The sequence below is a fragment of the Homo sapiens genome, chromosome 9, assembly GCF_000001405.40.
Source record: "Homo sapiens chromosome 9, GRCh38.p14 Primary Assembly".
NCBI lineage: Eukaryota > Metazoa > Chordata > Mammalia > Primates > Hominidae > Homo > Homo sapiens.
Window position 1 is genome coordinate 130520746 of NC_000009.12, and position 25894 is coordinate 130546639.

Here is a 25894-nt window from a genome sequence, read left to right on the forward strand (position 1 = left end):
TGACTCTGCCATGAGCTTGCAGAGGGCTCCTCAGGCCAGAACCTTGGGCAGGGCTCGGAACATTTCTGGACCCAGCTTTCTCCAAATGTAAAACAAAAGGCTTGAACTCAATGACCCCTGAAGAAGGTAGGTTCCCTTTCTTTTCAAATGTCCTTTGTAGAATTTGTGCAATTTTGAAAGCCCCTCCGGTATTCTCCTCTGTGAGGCTTCCAGGGGCGGGAGGGGTGGGACCCTGCTGGTAAGACCCCATGGGAGGGCTGGGAGCGGGGCAGGCCATAGAATTTGAGACAAGTGGGCCGGGCACGGTGGCTCACCCCTGTAATCCCAGCACTTTGGGAGGCCGAGGCGGGTGGATCACGAGGTCAGGAGATCGAGACCATCCTGGCTAACATGGTGAAACCCCGTCTCTACTAAAAATACAAAAAATTAGCCGGACATGGTGGCGGGCGCCTGTAGTCTCAGCTACTCGGGAGGCTGAGGCAGGAGAATGGCGTGAACCCGGGAGGTGGAGCTGGCAGTGAGCCGAGATGGCGCCACCGCACTCTAGCCTGGGTGACAGAGCAAGACTCTGTCTCAAAAAAAAAAAAAAAAAAAAAAAGGAATTTGAGACAAGTAGTTCCAGCTCACATCTCAGAGTTCTAGATGGGCTTGGGCATGCCGATACAAAAAGGACTCTGGGCTGTTTTCCTTTGTGACTTTTGAAATGGCGGAGCGGTGTGCGCTAGAAGTGGGTGTTTCTTGATAAATGGGCAGATTCTTAAATCTGGAACCTCTCTGAGTCTGGGGCCTAGGAATCCACCTGTTTCGCAAGCTGCCTGAGTGATTCTGATGCTCACTGAAATTTGAAGAACACAGGCCTGGAGAGATGGAGGCCAATGGCATGCACAGAAGCTGATGCCTGATGACCAGGCTCCAGGGTGGTTCCTAGGATCTGGGTGGGTTGAGTATCTGCGTGTTTAGCCAGGACCAACTGTGCAGATGCTGCCCACTCGGGCCTCCCCCACCCATAAGCCCACATTCACCAGCCTCCCCAGAAAAGACGATCACAGTTGCCACAGCCTCTGAGGGCTCCCTGCAGAGCCACAGGTATTCTGGGGAGCCAAGTGGTCACAAGCCCCAGTTGGAACTCAGGCAGAACCGGAGCGTGCCGATTACTCCATCTCTGAGTCTCAGTTTCCTCATCTGTAAAATGGGCCCAGTAATAGTACTTATCTTACAGGGTTGTCTTGAGGAATATATTATGCACATAAAGATCTTAAAACAGGGCAGACACCAGGTAACTGTTCCACAAATGAGAACTTTTGTCCTATTGCTACTGATTATCACCATTCTGCCCTGACCCCATTGTATTAGTCTGTTTTCACACTGTTATAAAGAAGTACCTGAGACCGGGTAATTTATAAAGAAAAGAGATTTAATTGACTCACAGTTCTGCATGGCTAGGGAGGCCTCAGGAAACTTACAATCACGGCAGAAGGCAAAGAGGAAGAAAGGCGCGTCTTACGTGGTGGCAGGAGTGAGGGAGAGAAGGGGGACTTCCCACACATTTTCAAACCATTAAATCTCGTGAGAACTCACTATCACATGAACAGCATGGGGGAAACCACTCCCCTATCCAATCACCTCCCACTATGTCCACAAATCGAGATGAGATTTGGGTAGGGACACAGAGTCAAACCAAATCTCCCATGCACTGGCTTCCTCCTCCAGCCCCTCCCCCACACCCTGACCCTGGAGTGGTGGCAGGCACCAGTTGTTACTAATCATGACACAACCCCCACCCCCACAGGGCTTGCAAGGACACAGCCAGCCACTCAGTTAAGATGGTAATGAAGCAGCTGTGAAACAAGAGGCCTTTCCATCTGGGATCCCAGCTGACCTGACTCCTGCCTAAGGTTGGGGAATCTGCTGTGTGGATGCTGCCCCCCCGCCCAGCTGTTTATCCCTGGTGTGATGATGGCTCAGGCTCACTGCAGCCTCAGCCTCCTGGGCTCAAGCCATCCTCCCACCTCAGCCTCCCCAGTAGCTGGGATGACCTGTGTGCACCACCACGCATGACTGGTTTGTTTTATTTTTGGTAGAGATGAAGTTTTACCATGTTGCCCAGGCTGGTCTCAAACTCTCTGAGCTCAAGTGATCCTCCCGCCTCAGCCTCCCAAAGGGCTGGGATTAGAGGCGTGAGCCACTGTGCCCAGCTGCAATCACTTATTTATGTCTCTGTTAATCTGCTCGCAGGCCCAGCTCCCGCCTCATTCGCCTCCATGGAGGCAGCCCCCGCCCTTGGGCGCCAATGGTAGGATGGAGTAGGGGGGCTGTGCGTGGCGAGATGGAAGTAGGAGTACAATGCCCCCTTCCCCTTCCTCTGGATGGGAGTGGCGGAGGGCAACACTCTACAGCTGTGGGTGAGATGATGCGGCCCTAGAAAAGCTCTGGGACGAAGTACCAAGGGCTACAATCCTGGCCGCTCCTCCCAGTCACTATGTGACTTGGGAAGGGGCTTGACCCCACCTTGGAGGGACAAGGACATCTGATTCATTCAGAAATTGTTGATTACACTTGCCCTTTGTGTTCAGCACTATTCGAGGTGCTGGGGATATGGAGATGAAGGAAACAAACCAGCTCCTGGGTGTGCTGGGGGAGGGAGCATCTGGAGAGGGGAGTCAGGGGTCCTCCCAGGAGGGAGAGCGAGAGCAGCCATGTGAAAAGTGCAGGGAAGGGCATTCCAGGCAGAAGGAACAGCATGTGCAAAGGCCAGAGGGTCAAGGAACCAAAAGGAGTTGAGAGTTGGCTCAGGAGAGAGAGAAGAATAAGGGGCTAGAGAGGCGGGCAGGGCATGGGCATGCGGTTGATTCTAAGAGCACTGGGAAGCCGTGGGTGCCTGAAGTGATCGAGAAAAGCCAGGTCAAATGGCAGCCAGGGAACTCCAGGACCCAGGAGTCCTGCTGTCAGAGATCCCAGGCCCCTCAGCCCCACCCTCCCTAACCTCGTAGGCCTGGGGCTCAGTGAGGTTCATGGCCCCGCTCCTGGGAGCAGCTGACCCTGTGCACCCTGGTGAGCCCCTGAGGGGAAGCTGCTCACCAGGGATTGGGGTCCCCACTCCTTCCGAGCCCTCTCAACAAGGCGGCTTTGTCTGGCAGCCCCAAGGACCCCCACGCTCCTCCCCAGGCCCCCTACTCTGAGCTCTGAAAGGAGGCTTTATCTGCATCCCAGGCCAGACTGCTGGGAAGTGAGTGGCCGGGACTGGCACATGGGGCCAGGCAGCAGCCGCAGCCCTGACTCCTGGGGCTGCAGACACAGAGAGAGCCAAGGACAAAAGGGTGCCCTGGGGAATCAGCCCGGCCCCAGAGGAAGACAAGAGGACTACACAGGCTCCCCTGCGCCCCATCCCCTCCCCCGCAATCTGGTCACTTGATCGCAGTGGTCAGTGACACGGCCCTTTGTGCAGCCCCTGCCTCAGGGGAGAAGGAGGCAGGTAAGGCAGCGCTGCTTGTAATCGGACCTCCCGGGGCCTGCTTCCCGTTCCCTTTCTCTGGTCCTGGGAAGCTTTGGGAGGGTGGGAACGGTTTGTCAAGGACGGTACCTTTCCAAATGAAAAGGAGCTTCAGGAAAGATCGATGCCCTAAGCCATCACTGGGCCAACTGGAGAGAATGAGAAGCAGAAAGAAGAAAGGCCAGAAAGGCTGATATTTCTGAGCCACCTCTTCCTGGGTGCGTGGAAGATGGTACCTCTCAGCCGGGTTTCTGCCACCCTGCTTAGCCCTGGTTAATGTGGATAATGGCAACAATGATGTATTCCAAGTGCCTCTATGGAGATTACCTCTACCATCCACAATGACCCTCTGTGGCAAGGAGCAGCAGCCCCATTTTACAGGGACAGGTACAGAGGCCCAGAGAGACTAAACCACCTGCCCAAAGCCACACGAGAGGCCCAGCCAGGATTCAAACCCAGGAACGTCTGATGCCAGAGCCCAGGCCTTGAACCTTGTGCCTCCCAGCTTGGCTGGGTCCACCCATCTGCCAATGCTGTGTCCAGAAGCCCCACGTCAGCTCTGTCCTGGCTGTGGACATCCTGGATGTAAGACGTGGGAGGAACCCCAGCCATCACCTCTACAAGAAAACTTAAAAATTAGGCTAGGTGCAGTGGCTCACGCCTGTAATCGCAGCACTTTGAGAGGCAGGCAGATCACCTGAGGTTAGGAGTCCAAAACCAGACCGGCCAACGTGGCAAAACCCCGTCTCTACGAAAAGTAAAAAACAAACAAACAAACAAACAAACAAAAAACTTAGCCAGACATGGTGGCGTGCAACTGTAGTCCCAGCTACTTAGGAGGCTGAGGCAGGAGGATCACTAGAAACAGGGAGGCAGAGGTTGCAGTGAGCTGAGATTGTTCCATTGCACTCTAGCCTGGGCAACAGAGCAAGACTCCATCTAAAAAAAAAAAAAAATTAAAAAATGAGCCAGGCGTGGTGGCACACACCTGCAGTACCAGGTACTCAGGAGGCTTAGGTGGGAGGATCGCTTGAGCACAGAAGGTTGAGGCTGCAGTGAGCTGTGTTCTCACCACTGTACTCCAGCCTGGGTGACAGAGCGAGCGTCTCTCAAAAAATAAAAAGGTAGTTTACTAACATGACTGAACTGTACACTGAAAGATGGTTAAGGTAAATTTTATGTTATGCATATTTTGCCACAATTTAAATTTTTAAATGTTCAAACATAAAGAAAGAAGTGAGTCTAGCCAGTATCCAAGAGGCACTAAACCAAGTGACACCAGCCCAAGTCTCTCTGATGCAGTGAGAATTTGTGGGATGGAATGGAAGAGAACGAAAAGGAGGATACGTTTAGGCCGGGCGCAGTGGCTCATACCTGTAATCCCAGTAATTTGGGAAGCCGAGGTGGGTGGATCACCTGAGGTCAGGCGTTCGAGACCAGCCTGGCCAACATGGTGAAACCCCTTCTCTACTAAAAATATAAAATATTAGCCGGGCATGGTGGTGGGTGTAGTCCCAGCAACTCAGGAGGCTGAGGCAGGAGAATTGCTTGAACCCAGGAGGCGGAGGTTGCAGTGAGCTGAGATCGTGCCATTGCACTCCAGCCTGGGCAAGAAGAGTGAAACCCTGTCTCAAAAAAAAAAAAAGAGAAAGAGGATACATTTATCACAGCGGGTGCAATGTTCAGCCCAAATCATCTTTTGGGCCACCAGTCATGCCTGTTGTATTTGGGAAATGCCAATCATTGCACAAATGGGGAGACTGAGGCCCATAGAGAAGGGCACACCCTGATGAAGGGCCAGTCATAGTCACGACCAGGCTGGAATCTGCAGCCACCAGCCTCTGGATGTGCCTCACCCCAGGGGTCACAAGAGGCCCAGCAAGGAGTTAATGCCACTGGGAGGACAGTGAGGCGCCCCCTGGATCTTGCCCCCCAACTCCAGGAAAGAGGGTAAAGGTGAAGGAAGAAATGGCTGGTTGCCTCCACACTGTGTGCCCTCAGCCCATCTGGGTTGGGCACCAGGGACTGGGCAGGTGTACAGACTTTACTTCCTGCAGACCCCAGGAGGGCTGTGGCATCGGGAGGGAGACTGAGGCTGCCTGGCCGAGGGGAAGTGGGATGGTGACAGTGGCCGCGTTGACGGCTCGGCCCCAGGCGCTGCGCCTGAGCTCGTCTCAGCCAAACGTCTAACACTCATAGAGACACAGGCTGGGAAACCAGAGCTCAGAGAGAAGTCACTTGCAAGTCAGGGGCAGAGATGGGATTCGAACCCAGATCTGTGACTCCGGGCCCTGCGGGCAAGTGCCTAGGAAGATGGTGGGGGCCCGTGAGGAATCATCGCAACCAAACCAGCTTCCCTTCTGGCCCCGCACTGAAGCCATGTGAGCTTTCTGGAACACAATTGCATGTTATTCCTCCCTCTCTTGCCTGAGCTGAAAGCTTCCTGGGGCTCTTTAAAGTGTGACGCTGGTCCCTGGCCACCTCTGGAGCCCTGTCCCCACCTGTCTGGACTCCCTTTGGATTTTGTCCCTCAGCTAGACTGACCCATTTGCAGTCCCTCAAAAGCTCTGCCACCTGCAAACCGGGCCACCTGGGCCCAGGCTGAGCCCAGTCTTCCCCACCATCAAAGTCTGCACCCGCAAGGACAGAACATGCAGCGCGTACGGTGCACACTGTAAAGTGCGGTGCCCCCGCTACATGACGACAAGGGAGAGCAGATCAAACCCAGCCTGGCTGCAGCTGGCGAACGCTAAGAATCCAGCCGCTCAGACCGTGGTCTCTCACTTCCCTGGCATGCCCTTCACTGCCTCCTCCCGCCCCGTCCTCACTGTCCCCACTGTCCCCAGGGGAGGCAGGTCCACCCTCAGATTTACCAGGGCATGTTAAGACACAGTTTGAAGCCATCTCCGAGGTCATGAGGTCATGGCAGTTTCCCATCGATCTATTTGTCCCTCCCTTGCCTGACGCCCTTTGCCCCCATGGGCCCCCAGAGCCATATCAAACTTCAGCAGTTTCTCCCAAGGTCCAAGGAGCCAAAACACAGGGCAGGGCCTTAAAACACAGCCAGCGGGCGATTTACCAGCTGGGCTGCCCAACCCCTGACCTCCGGAGGAGATGTAATGCATCTCCCTGGTTTAGCCGGATCAATGGTGCTGTGAAAAACAGCCCCATGTGGGCCAGTTGGGACAGGAGGGAGACACCCCTGCCGCCAGAAATCCCACCCGGACAGCCGCGGAGTCAGCCTCCGTGCACACGCACGGCCCCAGGACCTCGCTGGGCTCGCCGACTGTCTCAGGCAGGAGCTGGGATTGCTGAGACCAGCCCCTAGAATTCGGATGGGGAAACTGAGGCTGGGGGGCTTCTCAAGGTCACAGAGTAAGTTCAAGGAAGCCTCCAGTTTCCCCAGGGGGAACTCTCCCTGCTCAGCTTCGGCCTTCTCCTGTGGGCGAAGGTGGCAGTGGCCAGCCAGTCTGGTGGGGCAGTCGTGGTATTGGGGGTATCATAGGTCCCTGGAAGGCCAAGCTTGGCTGTCCCACAGCCTCTGGGCAGGACCAGTGGACCCAGTGTGCCTCCAAGGTGGGACTTCCTGCCTTTGACTCTGTGTGGGGCAGAAACTCCACCTTCAACAGAGTGTCCTGCCTGAGTCACAACATCCCAACGAGGGCAGAGGCCAGAGGCAGCAAGCCACCCCATGCTGGGACCCCCTTGCTCCCCAGAAAGCACAGTAGCCCATATTTAGGGAGGAAGGTTAACAAGAGCAGGAGGGCTCTGCTTCCAAATTCTCCTCGGTCCTCGTGTGACCCTCTACCCCTAGCCTGAGCCAGCAGGAAGAGCAGGCGGCTCTACAGCCTCCCGCCTTCAAGCAGGGGCCATAGACCCACAGGGGCCCCTGGGAGCTCACTAGAAAGGCAGAATCTGGGCCCCTTTGCTCCAGACCTACTGACCACAGTCTGCATTTTAACAGCTGATACATGCGCGCGCCAAGGCTGAGAGTGCTGGTGTTTAGAACCTCCCGGAGTGAAATGAGAAGGGGCGAGTGTGCATGTGTGTGTTAAGATCTTTACCCTAAAGAAAGGGCCTGAGATGAGGAGGGAAGGTGGGAAGGGAGTTAGGTAAAAAGGAAGGTAGAATGGAAGGGAGGAAAAAAAAGATACCCTCCAGATGTCCAAAAAGTATCTGAAGTAACTTCATTCACCTCCCATTCCTTCACTGCATATTTATTGAGCATCAGAGACATGCTAAGCACTGAGCTGAGCGCTGGGGTAGAGCAGCGAGCAAAATGGGCGAGACCTCAGCCCCATGCGCCCCACCACCCCACAGCTTACGGTCTCAAGCTGTGCTGTCCGGAACAGTAGCCCCACCACGTGTGAGCGCGTGAACTGTGGCCGGTCCCCATTGAGATGCGCTGTGAGTGTTAAATACACACTGGATTTCAAAGACAGTGCAAACTGGCCAGGCGCAGTGGCTCACACCAGTAATCCCAACACTTTGGGAGGCCGAGGCAGGAGGATTTCCTAAGCTCAGAAGTTTCAGACCAGCCTGAGCAACATGGCAAAACTCTGCCTCTACAAAAATACAAACATCAGCCCGGCCTGTACTCCCAGCTACTCGGGAGGCTGAGGTGAGAGGATCACGTGAGCCCAGGAGGTCGAGGCTGCAGTGAGCTATGATCACACTGCCACTGCACTCCAGCCTGGGTAACAGAGCAAGACCCTGTCTCAAAAAACAGTGCAAGCAAAAGAATGTAAAATATCTCAATTTTAAAAATATTCACTACATGCCGACATGATCATACTGTGAATATATTGCATTAAACAAATTCACGTATTTCTTTTTTTTTTAATGCAGCTACTAGAAAACTTTCAATTATGAGGCTTACATTTCTGTTGTACAACACTGCTCTAGAGGATGAGACAGAAAACAAACTAATAAGCAAACAAAAAGTTACAAGCAAACAAAAATGTAAGAAGATTACATGTGATGAAAAGCCCTGGGAAGGAAACCAGCAGGATGAGATGCAGGACTGGAGATGAGGAGCGAGGTCTCTTCAAATAAAGACATATGAGCTGGCACAGTGGCTCACACCTGTAATCCCAGCACTTTGGGAGGCTGAGGCGGGGGGATCACTTGAGCCCAGAAGTTTGAGACTAACCTGGGCAAATGGCGAGACCCCATCTCTACAAAAAATTTAAAAATTATCCAGGTGTGGTGGCATGCACCTGTAGTCCCAGTTACTTAGGAGGCTGAAGTGGAAGGATCACTTTAGCCTGGGTGTAAGTTACATATAGTCAACTGCACAAATCTGAACTGCACCTCAGGAGTGTTCCATGCCGCTCCCAGTCACTATGGCTGTGGTGGTGCATTAGCTACCTATTGCTTCAAACAACACACGTTGATCATCTCACAGTGGCTGTGGCTCGGGAGTCTGGGCACAGTTGAATGGGTCTTGTCTTCAGGGTCTCATCAGGCTGCAGTCAACAGACACACACACGCACATACGCACACTCCCCACTTCTCATTTCACTCCGGGAGGTTCTAAACACCAGCACTCCCAACCTTGGCATGCACATGGATCAGCTGTTGAAATGCAGTCAAGGTGTCAGCCGGGCTGCATCTTCTTTCAGAGCTCAGGTCGTCTTCCAAGGTCTTGCATTGGTCGGCAGAATTCAGTTCCTTGCACCAGTAGAACTGAGCTCCCTGTTTTCTGGCTGGCTGTCAGCCAGTGGCCCCCTGGTGCCACGTGGCCATCTCTAAGGCAGTTCACACCATAGAAGCTTGCTTCTGCAAGTCTCTCTTCAGCTTTTTTTGTTTGTTTCATTTTCTTTGAGATGGAGTCTCGCTCTGTCACCCAGGCTGGAGTGCAGTGGCGTGATCTCAGCTCACTGCAATCTTAGTCTCCAGGGCTCAAGGGATCCTCCCACCTCAGCCTCCCAAGTAGCTGGGATTACAGGCATGCACCACCACGCCAGACTAATTTTTGTATTTTGGTAGAGATGGGGTTTCGCCATGTTGTCCAGGCTGGTCTCAAACTCCTGGACTCAAGTGATTCACCCACCTCAGCCTCCCAAAGTGCTGGGATTACAGGCGTGAGCCACTGGGCCCAGACTTAAGGTTTTACCTAATTAAGTCCAGCCTAACCCTTTCAATGAACTCAAAATGAACTGCCTTGAGATCTAAATTACACCTGCAAAACTCCTTCAGCTTTATCATCTCAGCCAAAAGCACATCCCTAGTCCCACCCACAGTCAAAAGGAGGGGTTACAAAGAGTGTACATACCAAAGGTTAAAAATCAGTGGGAGTCAGCCAGGGATGGTGGCTCATGCCTACAGTCCTAGCTACTTGGGAGGCTGAGGCGGGAGGATCTCTTGAGCCCAGGAGTTCAAGACCAGCCTGGGCAACATAGCAAGACTCCATTCTTTTAAACAAAAATTACAGGGGTCACTTTAGGGTCTGTCTGCCACAAATGGTAATGACAATTCTAACCTCTTCAACCCCAATTAAAAATTAATCATTTACTAAAAACTTACGAATTCATTAATTAATTGTGTCAGACTCCTTTTATCTTTTTTCTTTTTTCTTTTTTTTTTTTTGAGATGGAGTCTCGCTCTGTCACCCAGGCTGGAGTGCTGTGGTGCGATCTCAGCTCACTGCAACCTCTGCCTCCCGGGTTCAAGCGATTCTTCTGCCTCAGCCTCCTGAGTATCTGGGATTACAGGCACAGCCACCATGCCCGGCTAATTTTTGTATTTTTGGTAAAGATGGGGTTTTACCATGTTGACCAGGCTAGTCTCAAACTCCTGATCTCAAATGACCCGCCCGCCTAGGCCTCCCAAAGTGCTGGGATCACAGGCATGAGCCGCCGCGCCCGGCCTGCATCATATTTCATTATGGGAATGCACCACGATTTATTTCACAACTTCTGTTGACAGATATTTGGGTTGCTCCCAGTTTCTGGCTATTGAAATAGAGCTGCTAGCACGTGGGATTCTGGATCAGATTTTAGACAATCCAAAGACATTAATGAAAAAACTGATGAAATCAAAGTCTGTAGTTTAATTAGTAATATTGCACCCATGTTAATTTCTTAGTTTTGACAAATGGGCCATGGTTATAGAAGATGTTAACTGTAGAAGAAAGTGAATGATGAGTATACAGGGGCTCTCGGCACTATCCTTGCAACTTTTCTATAAAGCTAAAATTATTCTGGGCCCAGGCGTGGTGGCTCACATCTGTAATCCCAGCACTTTAGGAGCCAAGGTTGGAAGATCACTTGAGGCCAGGAGTTCAAGGCCAGCTTGGTCAACAGAGGGAGACCCTGTCTGTACAGAACAAATAATAATAAAAATAATTCCAAAATAAAAATTTTTATAAAAATAAGTAAATAAAGCTAATAGCAAACATCTGCTACAGGCCACGGAGGAGTAGTGGGTATACAACTAGCCCTTGATGGAATCTATGAGGCTACTCTGTTCGGTGCAAGACCATAGATTCAGACTGTGCAAGACCACAATCCCTGAGAGAAGGGAAACCCATGAAGTGAGCCCCACAATCACCAGATCTCTGCCTGGGGCCAATTTCCCAGCCACAGACCAGAGAGCAGGGATCCAAGCTGCAGTCATCCTGCTGAGCTGGGAGGCAGAGATAAGGACACGGAGCTACTGAGGCCGCAGGGTCTGCAGGGCTGGAGGAAAGGATGATGCCAGGGCTGGGTTTCTTTTTTTTTTTCCTTTCTTTCTTTCTTTCTTTCTTTTTTTTTTTTTTTTTTTTGAGACAGAGTTTCGCTCTTGTTGCCCAGGCTGGAGTGCAATGGCGCGATCTCGGCTCACCGTAACCTCCACCTCCAGGATACAAGCAATTCTCCTGCCTCAGCCTCCCGAGTAGCTGGGATTACAGGTATGTGCCACCACATTCAGCTAATTTTGTAATTTTTAATAAAGACGGGGCTTCTCCATGCTAGTCAAGCTGGTCTCGAACTCCCAACCTCAGGTGATCCACCCACCTCGGCCTCCTAACGTGCTAGGATTACAGATGTGAGCCACCATACCTGGATCTTTTTTTTTTTTTTTTTTTTTTTTTTTTTTGAGACAGAGTCTTGCTCTGTCACCCAGGCTGGAATGCAGTGGCACCATCCCAGCTCACTGCAACCTCCGCCTCCCAGGTTCAGGCGATTCTCCTGCCTCAGCCTCCCAAGAAGCTGGGACTATAGGCATGTGCCAAACCTGGCTAATTTTTGGATTTTTAGTAGAGATAGGGTTTTGTTATGCTGGCCAGTCTGGATTCAAACGCCTGAGCTCAGGCAATCCGCCCACCTTGGCCTACCAAAGTGGTAGGATTACAGGCATGAGCCAGCATGCCCAGCCTCAGGCTGGGTTTCTAAGCAAGTCTTTGACTATGGCCTGGGGGGCACACACTCAGGACAAGACGACTTGAGGCTTTCCAGAGAGCAGCTGCTGTGAGTGCAGTGTGGGACCAGATCCTTGAAGACCCCCTGGGGGAAAAGAGGCGGGATGGCAGAGGAAAGGGTGGGAGCGGATCACACAGGTCCCTGAGGGCTGAGAGGAGGGTTTGGCTTTTGCTCCAAGCAAAGTGAAGACACCAAATGGTTTGGGCAGAGGAGTGCCCTGCCCTGCCATTGATAAAGGGCCCCGCTGGCTGCTGAGTGAAGAGCCTGTTAGATCTGTGGTGGGGGCTCGGGTCAGAGCCGAGGGTGGAGGTGGCTGTCAGTGTCAGAGCGGAAGCCACTCCAAAGGTGGAGCCCATCAACTGGACCTGGGGGTGGGAGGAAGACAGGAGCCAGGAGGGCTCCAAAGTTCTGGCCTGTTGATTTCCGAGACACTTGGCTTTTCCTTTTTTCTCCTTTTGAAAACCAGTTAATAGACGCTTGGCTTTTTCTTACAGCAGGTGTGCATTACCATTGCAATGAGAAAACCCCAAAAAGACATACCTTTTACTGGAGGGGGAGAAGGCATTCTCCATGTTGAAAGCATTCTCCACTCCTTTCCCGAGGGGAGCCATGAAGGAGACACGCGTCTTTCCCAGGTGCCCCCCATTGCCCAGTGGTCTGCCCCGTCTGCTGCACAAGGTTTGTCTCTGTCTCTTGCTCCTTCTTCCCGCTATGTGTGTCCCTCCTGTCCTCCAGCCCCTGAACAGGTGCTGCAGGGATGGACAATGGGGAAGAGCCAGCACTGGGGCTGGGTGGGGGTGGATGAGGGGTGCAAGAAGTTCAATGAAAGACTTGCCTTTGGTTAAAACAAATTTTTTTTTTTAAAAGAGCATCTTTCTCCCCTATCCGAGCAAGGATGGCCTTTGGGACCACCAATGCTTGTGACTACGACTTGCAGAACAGAGACCTCTCTTGGTCTCACTCCTGCGCCCAGCCTCTTGTGGCCTCACTGGCCCTGGCTGTGGTCCCTCCTGCCCCTCAGGGGTCCCTTCCCACCTCAGAACCTTCCTTTTTTTTTTTTAGACGGAGTCTTGCTCTGTCGCCCAGGCTGGAATGCAGTGGCGCCATCTCGGCTTACAGCAACCTCCACTTCCCGGGTTCAAGAGATTCTCCTGCCTCACCCTCCTGAGTACCTGGGATTACAGGCGTGTGCCACCATACACCGCTAATTTTTTTTTCATATTTTTAGTAGAAACAGGGTGGCCGGGTGCGGTGGCTCAAGCCTGTAATCCCAATACTTTGGGAGGCCGAGGCAGGCAGATCACGAGGTCAAGAGATTGAGACCATCCTGGCCAACATGGTGAAACCCCGTCTCTACTAAAAATACAAAAATTAACTGGGCGTGAAGGCGCGCGCCTGTAGTCCCAGCTACTTGGGAAGCTCAGGGAGGAGAATCACTTGAACCCAGGAGGCAGAGGCTTCAGTGAGCCGAGATCGCGCCACTGCACTCCAGCCTGGCAACAGAGCGAGACTCCACTCCGTCTCAAAAAAAAAAAAAAAAAGAAAAAGAAACAGAGTTTCATCATATTGTCCAAACTGGTCTCAAACTCCTGACCTCAAGTGATCTGCTCACTCGGCCTCCAAAAGTGCTGGGATTACAGGTGAGAGCCATTGCCTGGATGTCCCAGAACCTTCTCCCTGTTCTGTTACCCAGACTCCTCCTTTCCCTCTCTCTCTGCCCACCTGGGGCTCGGCCTCCTTCAGGGCTCAGTGTTCCGGGGCCCCTCATCCCCCTCCCCCAACAGTCTCCCCACCCATAGGGTCTCTGCCTCCAGGAGACCTCCAGACCTTCCAGCCAGCGTGAGGCCTGTTACAGGCTTGTGTGACTTCCCCTCAGAGCAGTGTCAAGGCTGTAATGAATGATGATTTCTGGGATTTTTCATTCACTGTCTATCCCCCGTGCTAACCTGGGAGCTTCTCGTTCACCTCAGTATTCTCAGCCCCTAGCAGAAGACCTAACCCATAACTGATGCTCAAAAGATACTTATTAAATCAAATGATATATAACTCAGACAGAGATGAGTACATCTGAACAAGTGGCGCCCAGGAGCTAGCACGCAGAATGGGCTTTGAAAGTGGATACAATTTCACTAAGTGAAGATGGAAGAATGGAGGTTTCCAGGGGGGAGAGCTCACCATGAACGAAGAAAGGGAAGCAGGAAAGTGTGTGTCAACTTCAGTGCCCGGAAGTGCATGCACAGCAAAAAACAAATATTTTTAACCTTTTTACAAAAAATACTGGGAGTCTCTCTCAACCTATTCTGGTCTGGGGGCTGCCCAATTCATGAATCACCAGAATAAGTAAATAAATGTATAAATAAAATACTTATGGCAGGGTGTGGTGGCTCACACCTGTAATCCCAGCACTTTGAGAGGCCGAGGCAGACAGATCACTTGAGGTCAGGAGTTTGAGACCAGCCTAGCTAACATGGGGAAACCCTATCTCTACTAAAAATACAAAACTTAGCTGGGTGGGGTGGCACATGTCTGTTATCTCAGCTACTCAGGAGGCTGAGGCAGGAGAATCACTTGAACCTGGGAGGTGAGGCCGCAGTGAGCCCAGATCATGCCACTGCATTCCAGCCTGGGCAACAGAGTGAGACTCTGTCTCAAAAAAAAAAAAAAAAAAAAAAAGACAAAAACTTACCAAACGAATGACTATTTGGAAGGGTGGATGGACGGACAAGCAGATGGGCAACAGGTTAAAGCAAAGCTCCTCCTTTTAAGGAAACAGAAACCGAGGGCTGGAGAGAAAGGGGGCTCCTGAAGATGACTGCGTTGCATTGAGGCAAAAGGAAAGCCGTTGTACCTTCAGACCATCTCTCGCCATCCACCCTGCGTGACCATTGCCTACGCCAGTCTTCCCTCCTCCCAGGACCCCTGCCCCCCACCCCCAGCATCCTCTCCAGTGCCCCCTCAAAGGTAGCTACTTTCCTGCTCATTACTTTTTACCAAACCTGGAGCCGAAGCCCTGAGTGAGCAGCTGGAGGCGGGGATGGGCCCTTTGTCCAAGCCTCAGCCCGAGGGTGGGGGTGGGGAATGAAGCTGGGGGGCTCCGTCCTCCCCGCTCTCTCTGCCATCTCCCTCGCTGACTTTTGTCCTTGGATCGCCTGCGTGATCAGAAGAGGTTTCATTCTCTGGCAACTGTGCAGCCATTAGCGAGAGGCAGACGCATTACCCTCTCACCGCACAATCGTTGGCTACTTCAGTTATTCTATTTCACCTGAAGACTTTATTTGCAGCCGAGCCTCCCCTCCGGAGCAGGGCAGGCCCCATCTGTCGGACAGTTTGCTCCAGCGTCTCCGGCCATTATGCCTCCACTTGGAGGACGGGATGGATGGCATGCGTGCAAGGGAGCAGGGGAGAGAGCGAGCTGGGGAGAGAGCGTGCGTGTCTGCCTGCCTGCACTCCCTCCCACTTGTCTCTTTATCATTCTCCCAGGGCCGAACAGAACTTGCTTTGAAGAGTGATGTCAGACGTGTACAAAACAGAGCGATAAAACCTAATGCACTCGCGCCCCTTTGTCTGCCTGATTCTCCTCCCGAACATTTCCCACTCAGAAAGCCACTTAAAACACATCAGCAGTAACTCCACAAAACAGCCACTTGTTGGCTAATTGAGCTAAGCAGCTGCCAGCAGGGCTAGGGGAGGGGTGGGGAAGGAAGCTGGAGGCCCCTCCACTCCCCCAGCCAGAGCCTGGCTCCTGGGGAGGGTGCCCGGCCCAGCCATTGCCTCCCTCCCGTACCTCTGCACCGCAAGGCTCTGCAAGGAGAGAAGACGCAGCTCTGCTCACTGGGTGGAGGGCGGGGAGGCAAGGAACTCGCGCCTGGGGGGCCGGGTTGGGGAGCCAGGTGGGCAGGATTCTCTGCCAGCTCCCTGGGAGTCACTGGCCATCTCTGGGCCTCAGTTTCCCCACCCACCCCATAAGCGGGTTGGACTGTGGCTTCTGGGGTCTCTTCCAGTTCCCAAAGGCTGCCTGTTGTTACGCACTGGGAGCTTCCGACAGACCTGGGTTCAAATCCCAGCTCTGCCTTTTGACCTGTAGCCTCAGGCTCTCTGAGTGTGTTTCCTCATCAGGAAAACGAGATACCAGCAGCGCCTGTCATGATTAGCACAAGGTGAGGTGGTGCCTGGTTAGTCCTTGGAGCCAGTCAGCACAAGACAGGGTTGCTGGGGCTCATAACAGGGCAGCCCCTGGCCCAGACTTGGAAACTAGGGTGAGCTAAGCTGAGATCAGAAAGATAAGAACCTCACCAGACTAGGGTGTGGGCACAGGCAGGGGCCAGTGAACAGCATATGTAAGAGTCCTGAGGCAGAGCTGAATTGGAGGACCAGAAAGAAGGCCAGCGTGAGTGGAGTCCCAAGGGAGGAGACAGAGAAGTGGCCAGGGCCAGGTGAGAAGGACCCAGTAGACTGTGGTAAGGAGCTTGGCTTTATCCTGAGGGCATAGGGAGCCATGGAGGGAGGGGAGCAGCCAGGTACCTTTTTTAAAGACCCTTCCTGGTTTTAGATGGAGAAGAAGCTGGTGGTCAGGGTTCAAGAGCAGAAAAGACACTCTTCCTACCCTGTTCCAACAGCCCAGCCTGGATGGCAAAAGCGACAGACCCTCCCTCAGAGGGACAAGGATGAGACGGCCGAACCAGTGCTCCTGCCCGGGCTCCACAGGCCCCTTTCCTCGCTGGCCCCACTGGAGAGGCAGGGGTTAAGCTCCATGGCCTGTCCCCTCTGTCACACATGTACCCTGCCATCTCTGGGCTCAACTGTCGCTGCGCTGTATCGGGACTCCATCAGAGAGGCTCAGGCAGCAGCTTGCAGTGTTCAGGCCGGCGGTCTCGAGGGTGGCGAGTTCTTGCACTCCTACAACAGCGCTTGAGGACGGCTCTGTCCGCTGGCCTATGCTGCAGCCTCCTCCTGCCCCTGCGGCAGAGGAGGGAGAGCCGTGGGCACAGCTAGCACTAGCACGTGTGGGTTCAGAGGTCTGAGCGGCCACTTCCCGCTTCCAGACCTCGGATGCGACGCTCATCTGCACGGTGTGGGCAGAGATAACATCCTCCCCAGAACAGCATGGAAATGTTTCAGCAGGGTGCTCGGCTTAGATAAGTGCTCGGCAAACCAGAGTTGCCATCATGATTCCCCCACGGCCCTCAATCCTCTCCTCCCTGCAAAGCGTGCATCCTTTTTTACCCCATCTTCCACCCCTCCCAATTTCCCTTTTGGCCTCATCTTGGAGGCTGTAAGTCAGGGTGAATCATTCATCAAAATATCTCACTCTTCCTCTTCCAGGGTTCCTGATATAATTACCTCCCTCTTCGGTTTTGCTCCTGATCCCTCTTCTGTTTTTTTCTGTGTGAACTTTATTTTAACCATCCTTTGTGTCTGTGAATGTTTTTTTTTTTTTTAAATCTTGCCAATGAAAATAACTTAATTGCTTTTTCTGGTTTTTAAAGTAACACACGCTCATTACCAAAAACATCCAGACAACGCAGAAAGGTAGAACGAGGGGAAAAACAGTGAGGTTGTTTTTAAGCAGCCTGCAGTAGTTTGTAGCAGGGTTGGGATAAGGAGGCCCCCTCTTTATAAAACTGGGGTGCTCCCCACCTGCCCCCAGCCCTCAGCCACCAACATCTTGCCCACTGCCTAAATGCCAGCTCAGGTTCTTGCTCCCCCAATAGGCTTCCTAGACTCCCACAGCCCAGGGCGATCTTTCTGTCCACTGACTTCAATTCTTTTCATTTCTTTTTCCTTTCTTTCTTTCCTTTTTGTACAATGGCTTGCAATCATGGCTCACTGCAGCCTCGACCTCACGGGCTCAAGCAATCTTGATCCTCCCACCTTAGCCTCCTGAGTAGCTAGAACGAAAGGTGTGTGCCACCATGCCTGGCTAATTTTTGTATTTTTTTGTGGAGACAGGGTTTTGCCATGTTACTTGGGCTGGTCTCAAACTCCTGAGCTCAAGCGATCCACCTGCCTCGGCCTCTCAAAGTGCTGACAGGCATGAACCACCATGCCCAGCAATCCTTTTCATTTCAACAAACATTTATTGAGCCTCTACTTTGAGCCAAGACACAGGATCTGGCCATCTGGATTCATCCCCTTCTGCCTGCGTTTCATTGGTTTTTCGTTATTTTTCTGCCTGGTGTGTAGACTCCTGCTCCCCCGCCTGGACTGTAAGGTCCCCACGGGCAGACCTACAGCTCTGTTTTTGTATCCCCATCCCTAGCACATATTGTTCCTGAGAGGGACCTCGCAGCTGCCTACAGGGAGGGCAGGTGCTGTGGATTGCATGTGCTGGACACCACGCCAAGCCTCTGGCACCAATGATCTTGTGTGATCCTCACCTTGACGACGGGAGGTGGGTGTTGTTATTAGCTTGACTTTTCAGGTACAGAAACTGAGTTTATACACAATTGCCCAAGGAACCACGATGGGTGAGCTGAGAGTCAAGAATTGAACCTGAGTCTCTGAGACCGAGGCTTGAGTTCTGAGCTGCTACAGGGGATTGCTTCCTTGTACAGCTCAGTAGTGGCACAGGGCGGGGGACAAATGCTCTCAGCAAGGAATGCCTGGGACAGGAAGGACAGTGTCATCGTCCTGGGCTGATGCTTGACCATGTTACTTTCTTTTTTTTTTTTTTTTTTTTTGAGACAGAGTCTCTCTCTGTCACCCAGGCTGGAGTGCAGTGACACGGTCTCGGCTCACTGCAATCTCTGCCTCCTGAGTTCAAGCGATTCTCCTGCCTCAGCCTCCCAAGTAGCTGGGATTACAGGTGCCCATCGCTACGCCCAGCTAATTTTTGTATTTTTAGTAGAGATGGAGTTTCACCATCATGGCCAGGCTGGTCTCAAACTCCTGACCTCAGGTGATCCACCCGCTTCAGCCTCCCAAAGTGCTGGGATTACAGGCATGAGTCACCGTGCCCGGCCTCTGCCAAGTTTTTTGAAGAACAAATGAATCATAAAATGCTGGTCATGTCACTTCTGGCTTAAGACTTCTCCCAGCTTGCAGGAGCAGTTTCCAATGCATTTGCTGCAAACCCTTCAAATGAAATCTTACACTGAAAATCTAAATGAACAACCAATGAAAGTGCAGCTTCCCTGAGACCTGGGGTGGGGCTGGGTGCAGAACCTGCATCATCTCGTCCGTTCCCTCCCTCTGGTTCACCTTCCTCCAGGTGCCAGTGGGGCTCTGAGGATTCCAGGGAGCTCAGTTTGAACCACTGGCCTAAAGCTCAGGTCCAAATGCTTGGTTAGAGCGTATAAGGCACACCATGGTGCCGCCAGCTGGCCAGCCCTCTCCCCTACCTCTCTGCCCTGCTCTGTGTGTACCTGCACCTTCCACTCAGAATGGCCAGTGGTTCTCCCACCACAACTGATTCACAGCTTTGGCTTGATCACAGGCTGTTGCCTCCTCTTCGGTGCTTTCCACTTACTTTCCACTGGGTTAACTCTTATGCAGCCTTTGAAACTTGGTCAAGTTCAAGACCAGCCTGGCCAACATGGTGAAACCCCATCTCCACTAAAAGTACAAAAATTAGCCAGGCGTGTGGGCGGGTACCTGTAATCCCGGCTGCTGGGGAGACTGAGGCGGGAGAATCGCTTGAAGCTGGGAGGCGGAGGTTGCAGTGAGCCAAGATTGCACCACTGCACTGCAGCCTGGGTGACAGAGTGAGACTCCATCAGAAAGAGAGAGAGAGAAAGAAAGAGGAAGAGAGAGGAAGAAGGAAGGGAGGGAGGGAGGGAGGGAGGGAGGGAGGGAAAGAGAGAGAAAAAAAGAAAGAGAGAGAGAAGGGAGGAAGGGAGGGAGGGAGGAAGGAAGGAGCGCCCATCTTCATTTGTCATGAAAAACGTGACTACTGCTCACTTCTGCAGCTAGGGTGAAACGAGGGGGCCAGGAGAGCAGGTTCTACAATTTTTCTTTAATCTGCTCCTTTAGCAAGTAAGTGTTGAGCTCCTGCAGTGTGCTTGGAGTATAAATTTGAAAAAGGCAGAAGCAGGCACCAGCCTGGGGGAACTCACAGGCTAGAGGAGAAACAGGTCATGAGTCCCCTTGTGACTGGCAAGCCCCGCATGGGGGAGCATGAAGGTGGGGCTGCTTCACAGCCTCAGGGAGCTCATTCCTGGGGAGGGGAAGTCTAGCCAAGACCTGAAGGAGGAGGATTAGCCATGCAAAGAGGAAGGGAAGGGTGTTCTGGGCACAAGGAACAGCACATGCCAAGGCTTGGAGGTAAGAGAGAGCAGATCGGTCTGGGGACGGGAAGGACCAGTGTGGCTGGAAGGAGACACCCAGCCAGGGTGATGGGGCTCAAGGCACACAGGAGGCAGCAGATGAAGGTGGGGTCAGACTTGCAGAACCCTTGGGCTGAGCCTAGGAGTTTGGAGGCCACTGAGGAGGATTATGCAAAGAAATGACCCAATCTGAAATGCACTTAGAAAAGTTTCTCTGGGCCGGGCGCGATGGTTCACGCCTGTAATCCCAGCACTTTGGGAGGCCAAGGCGGGTGGGTCATGAGGTCAGGAGTTCAAGACCAGCCTGGCCAAGATGGTGAACCCCGTCTCTACTAAAAATACAAAAATTAGCCAGGCGTGGTGGCAGGTGCCTGTAATCCCAGCTACTCAGGAGGCTGAAGCAGGAGAATTGCTTGAACCCGGGAGGCAGAGGTTGCAGTGAGCCAAGATCACACCACTGCACTCCAGCCTGGGTGACAGAGCGAGACTCCGTCTCAAAAGAAAAGAAAAAGAAAAAAATGAAAAATCTTTCTGGAGAAGCATTACCATTATAGATTAGCAGTTGAGGCCAGGTGTGTTGGCTCATGTGTGTAATCCCAGCACCTTGGGAGTCTGAGGTGAGAGGATTGCTTGAGCCCAGGAGTTCGAGACCAGCCTAGGCAATAAAGTGAAACTCCATCTCAATTAAAAAAAAAAAAAAAAAAAAAGATCAGAAGTTGAAAGTTCAGGTTCTGGCATCCCAAGGGCTTGAGTTCAAGTCCTGGTTCTGCCAGTAAGTGAATGATCTTGGGGAAATTGATCAAGTCTTCTGAGCCTCAGTTTCTCCAGCTGTAAGATGGGGACAATAATAGTCTCTACTGCCAAGAGCCGTGGGAGGAGTCAGTGAGACATTGCAGGAAGTGGATCCCTCAGAATGGCAGCTGTCAGGGGCAGGCTTTCCATCTGAGTCATTCACTGCTGTATCTCCATACCTGGAAAATGATAGAAACTCCATAAAATATGTACCCAGTGAATGCAGAAATGGTTGTTGAGTGCATGATGGATTCGAGGGGCAAACAGGGATCCCTCTTGACTCTGGAAGGCAAGAGGACAATAAATATAGCTAATTCAATAATCATGCAGGCTCAAGACACAAGGCGTTCAGCAATGTACATACATTAGTCCCCCTCAAACCCAATATCTCCCTCATTTACAAGTGAGGGCACTGAGGCTCGGAGGAGCTGGACGCATTGGCCAAAATCACCCAGCAAGAGAGCACTGAGCTTGGAATTTGTACCCAGCCCTTTGCCTCAGAAGCCTTTGAAGTAAACCACAATGCCAGGGGCCCCACCAATGCCATGCACCGCACTGGTTTTCTTGCTCTGTTGGCAGCTGCCTGTAGCTAAGGCGCCTGCAGGTGCAACATAGGTGGGGGCTGGTGGGCATAGAATTTAGTGGTCCCCAGAAAGGGCCTGGTCCCAGGGCTTTTGCATCCATCACCAGCTATTTATTGAGCACCTATGATGTGTGCCCTTTATAGCTACAAACTTGTGAGGTGGGGTGGGGGCTTGCAGGCTAGTGGAGGTGCCTGCCACCAAATTGAGAATTACTGGGGGGTGGAGGCACACGGACAGGGATAGACAGGCTGATGGCCACTGGCAGCCATGGTGATTAAAACACAACTGGAGTCCCAGCTACTCAGGAAGCTGAGACATGAGGATTCCTTGAGCCCAGGAGTTCAAGCCTGCAGTGAGCCATGATTGGGTCACTTCACTCCAGGCTGGGCAACATAGCAAGACCCCATCTCAAAAAAATAGAGTAAACTCAATAAACATTGGATGCTTCCTGTGTCCATTTCCCTCACCTGGGTCCTGCTGCACCTGCCTCACCATGGCCTCCAGGATCCTGCAGCTGGGCTCTGATTGGCTGTTCCCTGTCCCCATGCAGGTGCTATGAAAGCCTGACCTGATGGGTGGGGAAGGCTGCTTGAGGAGGTGACGGTTCAGTGATGCTCAGTGAGGGTTAAGTGGGTGGAGCGAGCGAGAGAGAGAGAGAGAGAGAGAGAGAGAGAGAGCAGGGCAGGGGAGGACCTACAGCTGCAAGGCCCAAGGCAGGAGGGAGCTGTGAGTTGGGAGAGAGAATTCGTGATGAAGCTGGAGAGGAGGTGGGGCTGGTCCACAGGGCCCTGTGGGCCATGGGGAGAGATTTGGGTTTGATCCGAGGCCAATGAGGGGTTGTATCCCAAGGTCGATGAGTCATGGAGGTTCTAAGCAAGGGAGGGGTGTGGCCTGGTGGGAGGGGCCCAAGGGGGGCAGGGAGGTAGTGGATGGCACTACCCAGGGCAGAGGTGGATGAGGATGGCACAGAGGCCAGGACGGTGGGATGGAGAGTGGTGCATAAGAGGTAACTCGGACTGGCAGGAGCCCCCTCCTCTGCATGTCCCCAGCATCGAGGCCCAGGACCTCATGCTCAGACACCATTCCTCCCAGTCCTAGTGCTCCCAGAGACCATTCTGGAGCCTGTGGCAGGTTGCTAGGCTGGGACCCCTCATCTGGCAGAGCGGGCAAGAGTGAGAGCTGCAGCCTCCAGCCCTGGCTCCCCAGAGTGCCAATTCTGAAAATGACAAACGGAGAGCCAATAAGAAGGTTGGAAAATGGGTACCTCCGTGCCTCCCTGTGTCTATTGTAGGGTTTGGAAATAGCTGAGATGAGACGAGAGCTGCTAGGAGGGGTGCCCGCTGGGCAGAGGAGAGGCCCAAAGCTGCTGCTGCTGCTGCTGCTGCTGCAGGAAGTAAGAGGAGAGACTGGAGGGGAGCGGAGGGGAGGAAAGGAACAGCAGAAGACAGAAAGGACAAATGTCAAAACGGACGCACAAAAAAGACCAGTTGTGGTGTGTGGCCTAGGATTGTGGGAGGGGTGTGTGTGTGTGTGTGTGTGTGTGTGTGTGTGTGTGTGTGTGTGTGATGCGGGCTTTGAGGAGCAATTCAAAAGCCCCTGGCCCCTGAGCCCATCTGAACACCCCCCTTCTCTCTTCACCCCACCAACCACCAAAAAAAAAGAGAGAGAGAGAGCGAGAGAGAAAGAAGGAAAACAAAATATCTACAGTTGTCGAGACAAGAGGAGAAAAATAGAGGCAAACATCCGTAATTTTCTCTGTGGGGCTTTGCGGTAATTGAGCCATTTGGATAAAAATAAAGGCAGCAGGCCCCTTAGGTAAGAAGAGCTTTTGCAATCTAAGAAGCTTGAATTATGCGTCTTGTGTCACTTGAAATCCCCCATTCTCCCCCTTCCTTGGGTGACCCAAACCACTTTCCCTTTTCTTATTATTTTTTTAAGTACCCTGTCAAAATGTCGACTGTAGAGTAGAGAATTTCAGCTGTCACAACTAATTTCAATTTTTCCACGTGCTTTCCCCCTTGGGGAGGGGGCCTGGCAGAGCCCCCTTTCCCTCCCTCTTGCATCTGCTCACTCTTTTTATTTCTCATTATTGTTATTATTTTAAAACCAGATTTACATCATCAGTGTGTTTGGGGAGTGTTTAAGGACTGTGGTTTGCTCCTGAGGAAGGCTGGGCCTGGCGCTGTTGGTTTCTGGCTCCCACCCCGCCTGCACCCCCTCCTGCACGCTCCCACCTCCACCCGCCTGAGCCCCTGGGACTCCCACCTCTCTCTTCCTGGTCCCAAGCTGCCAGCCGCCATCGACCACCCACTGGGGAAAATCCAGACTTCAAAAGAGTCTTGAGGTTCTAGGAGAGCCGTGGGAACCATGCTCATTTCCCTACCAAAGGGAAGTTCCGGGGCAGGCGAGATCCAGAGGAGCTTTTCCATCTTTTAAAAAATTGTGTAATTTGTTTGTGTAGAGACAAGGTCTCACTCTATTGCCCAGGCGGGTCCTGAACTCCTGGACTCAAATAATCCTCCCGCCTCGGCCTCCCAAAGTGCTGGGATTACAGGCGTGAGCCACCGCGCCCAGCCTCAGCTATTCTACCTTTTGCCTCATCTTTCTTGCCTCCTCAGTGCATTCATTCCATGGGCTTCAGTCCAGGGCCATCTCCTATGAGCTGGCCCTGCCAAGCTGCTGGGCACACCGAGGTGAGTAAGACACAATCCTTGCCCCTGAGGAGATGACAACCTAGTGGGCTCTAGGAGACAAAAAGGCAGGCGGACGGTGCAGAGTATCTGATGATGTGCTGGTCAGCACTGTGCAAGGACAGGGGGGCACAGGGGAGGGACGGGCCCTTCTAGCCCAGCTACTGAGAGGTCTTCTATGGTTTTTATTGTTTTTTGTTTTTTGGAGACGGAGTTTCACTCTTGTTGCCCAGGCTGGAGTGCAATGGCGCGATCTCAGCTCACTGCAACATCCGCCTCCTGAGTTCAAGCGATTAACTTTCCTCAGCCTCCAGAGTAGCTGGGATTGCAGGCACCCGCCACCATGCCCAGCTGATTTTTGTATTTTTTGTAGAGAAGGGGTTTCACCATGTTGGCCAGGCTGGTCTCGAACTCCTGACCTCAGGTGATCCACCCACCTTGGTCTCCCAAAGTGCTGGGATTACAAGCGTGAGCCACCACACCCAGCCTCTGCCATAATTTGAATGGGTCTCCTCCAAGATTCAGGTGTTGCCAATGTGGCAGTATCAGGAAGTGGGGCCATTAAGAGGTGACGAGGCCACGAGGGCTCCTCCCTTGTGAAGGGAGGTGCCCTTCTGTAAAGGGGCTTGACAGAGGAGGATCACGCCCTTTTGCCCTCCTGCCTTCTACCGTGTGAGGATGCAGCAAGAAGGCCCTCACCAAGCCAGGCGTGGTAGCTCACACCTATAGTTCCAGCACTTTGGGAGGCCGAGGCAGGAGGATCACTTGAGCCCAGGAGGTGGAGGCCGCAGTGAGCTGTGACTGCACCGTGGCACTCCAGCCTGGGTAACAGAGAGAGACCTTATCTCAAAAAAAGAAAAAAAATCTTAAAAATTAGCTGAGCATAAAGGCAGCCAACTAAATGCTTGTAGTCCCAGCTACTCAGCAGGCTGAGGCAGGAAGAACGCTTGCGCCCAGGAGTTTGAGATCAGCCGGTCCACATTCTACACAGGTCTCTCGTGTAGAGACTCTATCTCTACACAAAACAAATATTAAAAAAAAAAAAAAAAGAAGGCCTTCACCAGATGCCAGCACCAGAACTTGGACTTCTCAGCCTCCAGAACTATGGAAAGTACATTTCTATGTTTTATAAATTACCCAGTCTGAGGTATTTTGTTAGAGCTGCAGAAGCAGATGAAGATAAAGTCTTCGCCGAGGAGTGGTGCCCCAGCTTTTCACAAGCAAATGGATGCTGTCTCTACTTAAAAAATACAAAAATTAGCCGGGCATGGTAGCACACACCTGTAATCCCAGCTACTTGGGAGGCTGAGGCTGGAGAATCGCTTGAACCCAGGCAGCAGAGGTTGCAGTGAGCCAAGATCGCGCCACTGCCCTCCAGCCTGTGCAACAGAGTGAGATCCTGTCTCCAATAAAAAGGGGGGGTGGGTGGATTTGGACACAGACACACACACGGAGGCAGAAAACTGTGTGGAGATGAAGGCAGAGATCAGGATGATGCCTTCACAAGTCAAGGAATGCCAAAGATGGCCAGCAAACCACCAGAAGCTTGGGGCTTGGGGAGAGGCAGGGAACAGACTCTCCCTCACTGCCCTCAGAAGAAACCAACTCCGCCAACACCTTGATCTCAGATCCTGTAGATCTCAGAACTGCGAGACAAGAAAGCTCTGCT

At 52.6% G+C, this 25894-nt stretch overlaps 5 annotated features.

The window, feature by feature from the left end:
• Nucleotides 1497-2244: an enhancer, noted in NCBI's record as "OCT4-NANOG-H3K27ac-H3K4me1 hESC enhancer chr9:133397629-133398376 (GRCh37/hg19 assembly coordinates)". NCBI's record gives its function as "activates a minimal SCP1, AML or CMV promoter by ChIP-STARR-seq in naive and primed H9 embryonic stem cells {active_cell/tissue: H9 hESC(naive and primed)}" and the evidence as "EXISTENCE:reporter gene assay evidence [ECO:0000049][PMID:30033119]".
• Nucleotides 5015-5516: an enhancer, noted in NCBI's record as "H3K4me1 hESC enhancer chr9:133401147-133401648 (GRCh37/hg19 assembly coordinates)". NCBI's record gives its function as "activates a minimal SCP1, AML or CMV promoter by ChIP-STARR-seq in naive H9 embryonic stem cells {active_cell/tissue: H9 hESC(naive)}" and the evidence as "EXISTENCE:reporter gene assay evidence [ECO:0000049][PMID:30033119]".
• Nucleotides 5517-6016: an enhancer, noted in NCBI's record as "H3K4me1 hESC enhancer chr9:133401649-133402148 (GRCh37/hg19 assembly coordinates)". NCBI's record gives its function as "activates a minimal SCP1, AML or CMV promoter by ChIP-STARR-seq in naive H9 embryonic stem cells {active_cell/tissue: H9 hESC(naive)}" and the evidence as "EXISTENCE:reporter gene assay evidence [ECO:0000049][PMID:30033119]".
• Nucleotides 6781-7281: an enhancer, noted in NCBI's record as "H3K4me1 hESC enhancer chr9:133402913-133403413 (GRCh37/hg19 assembly coordinates)". NCBI's record gives its function as "activates a minimal SCP1, AML or CMV promoter by ChIP-STARR-seq in primed H9 embryonic stem cells {active_cell/tissue: H9 hESC(primed)}" and the evidence as "EXISTENCE:reporter gene assay evidence [ECO:0000049][PMID:30033119]".
• Nucleotides 24039-24539: an enhancer, noted in NCBI's record as "NANOG-H3K4me1 hESC enhancer chr9:133420171-133420671 (GRCh37/hg19 assembly coordinates)". NCBI's record gives its function as "activates a minimal SCP1, AML or CMV promoter by ChIP-STARR-seq in primed H9 embryonic stem cells {active_cell/tissue: H9 hESC(primed)}" and the evidence as "EXISTENCE:reporter gene assay evidence [ECO:0000049][PMID:30033119]".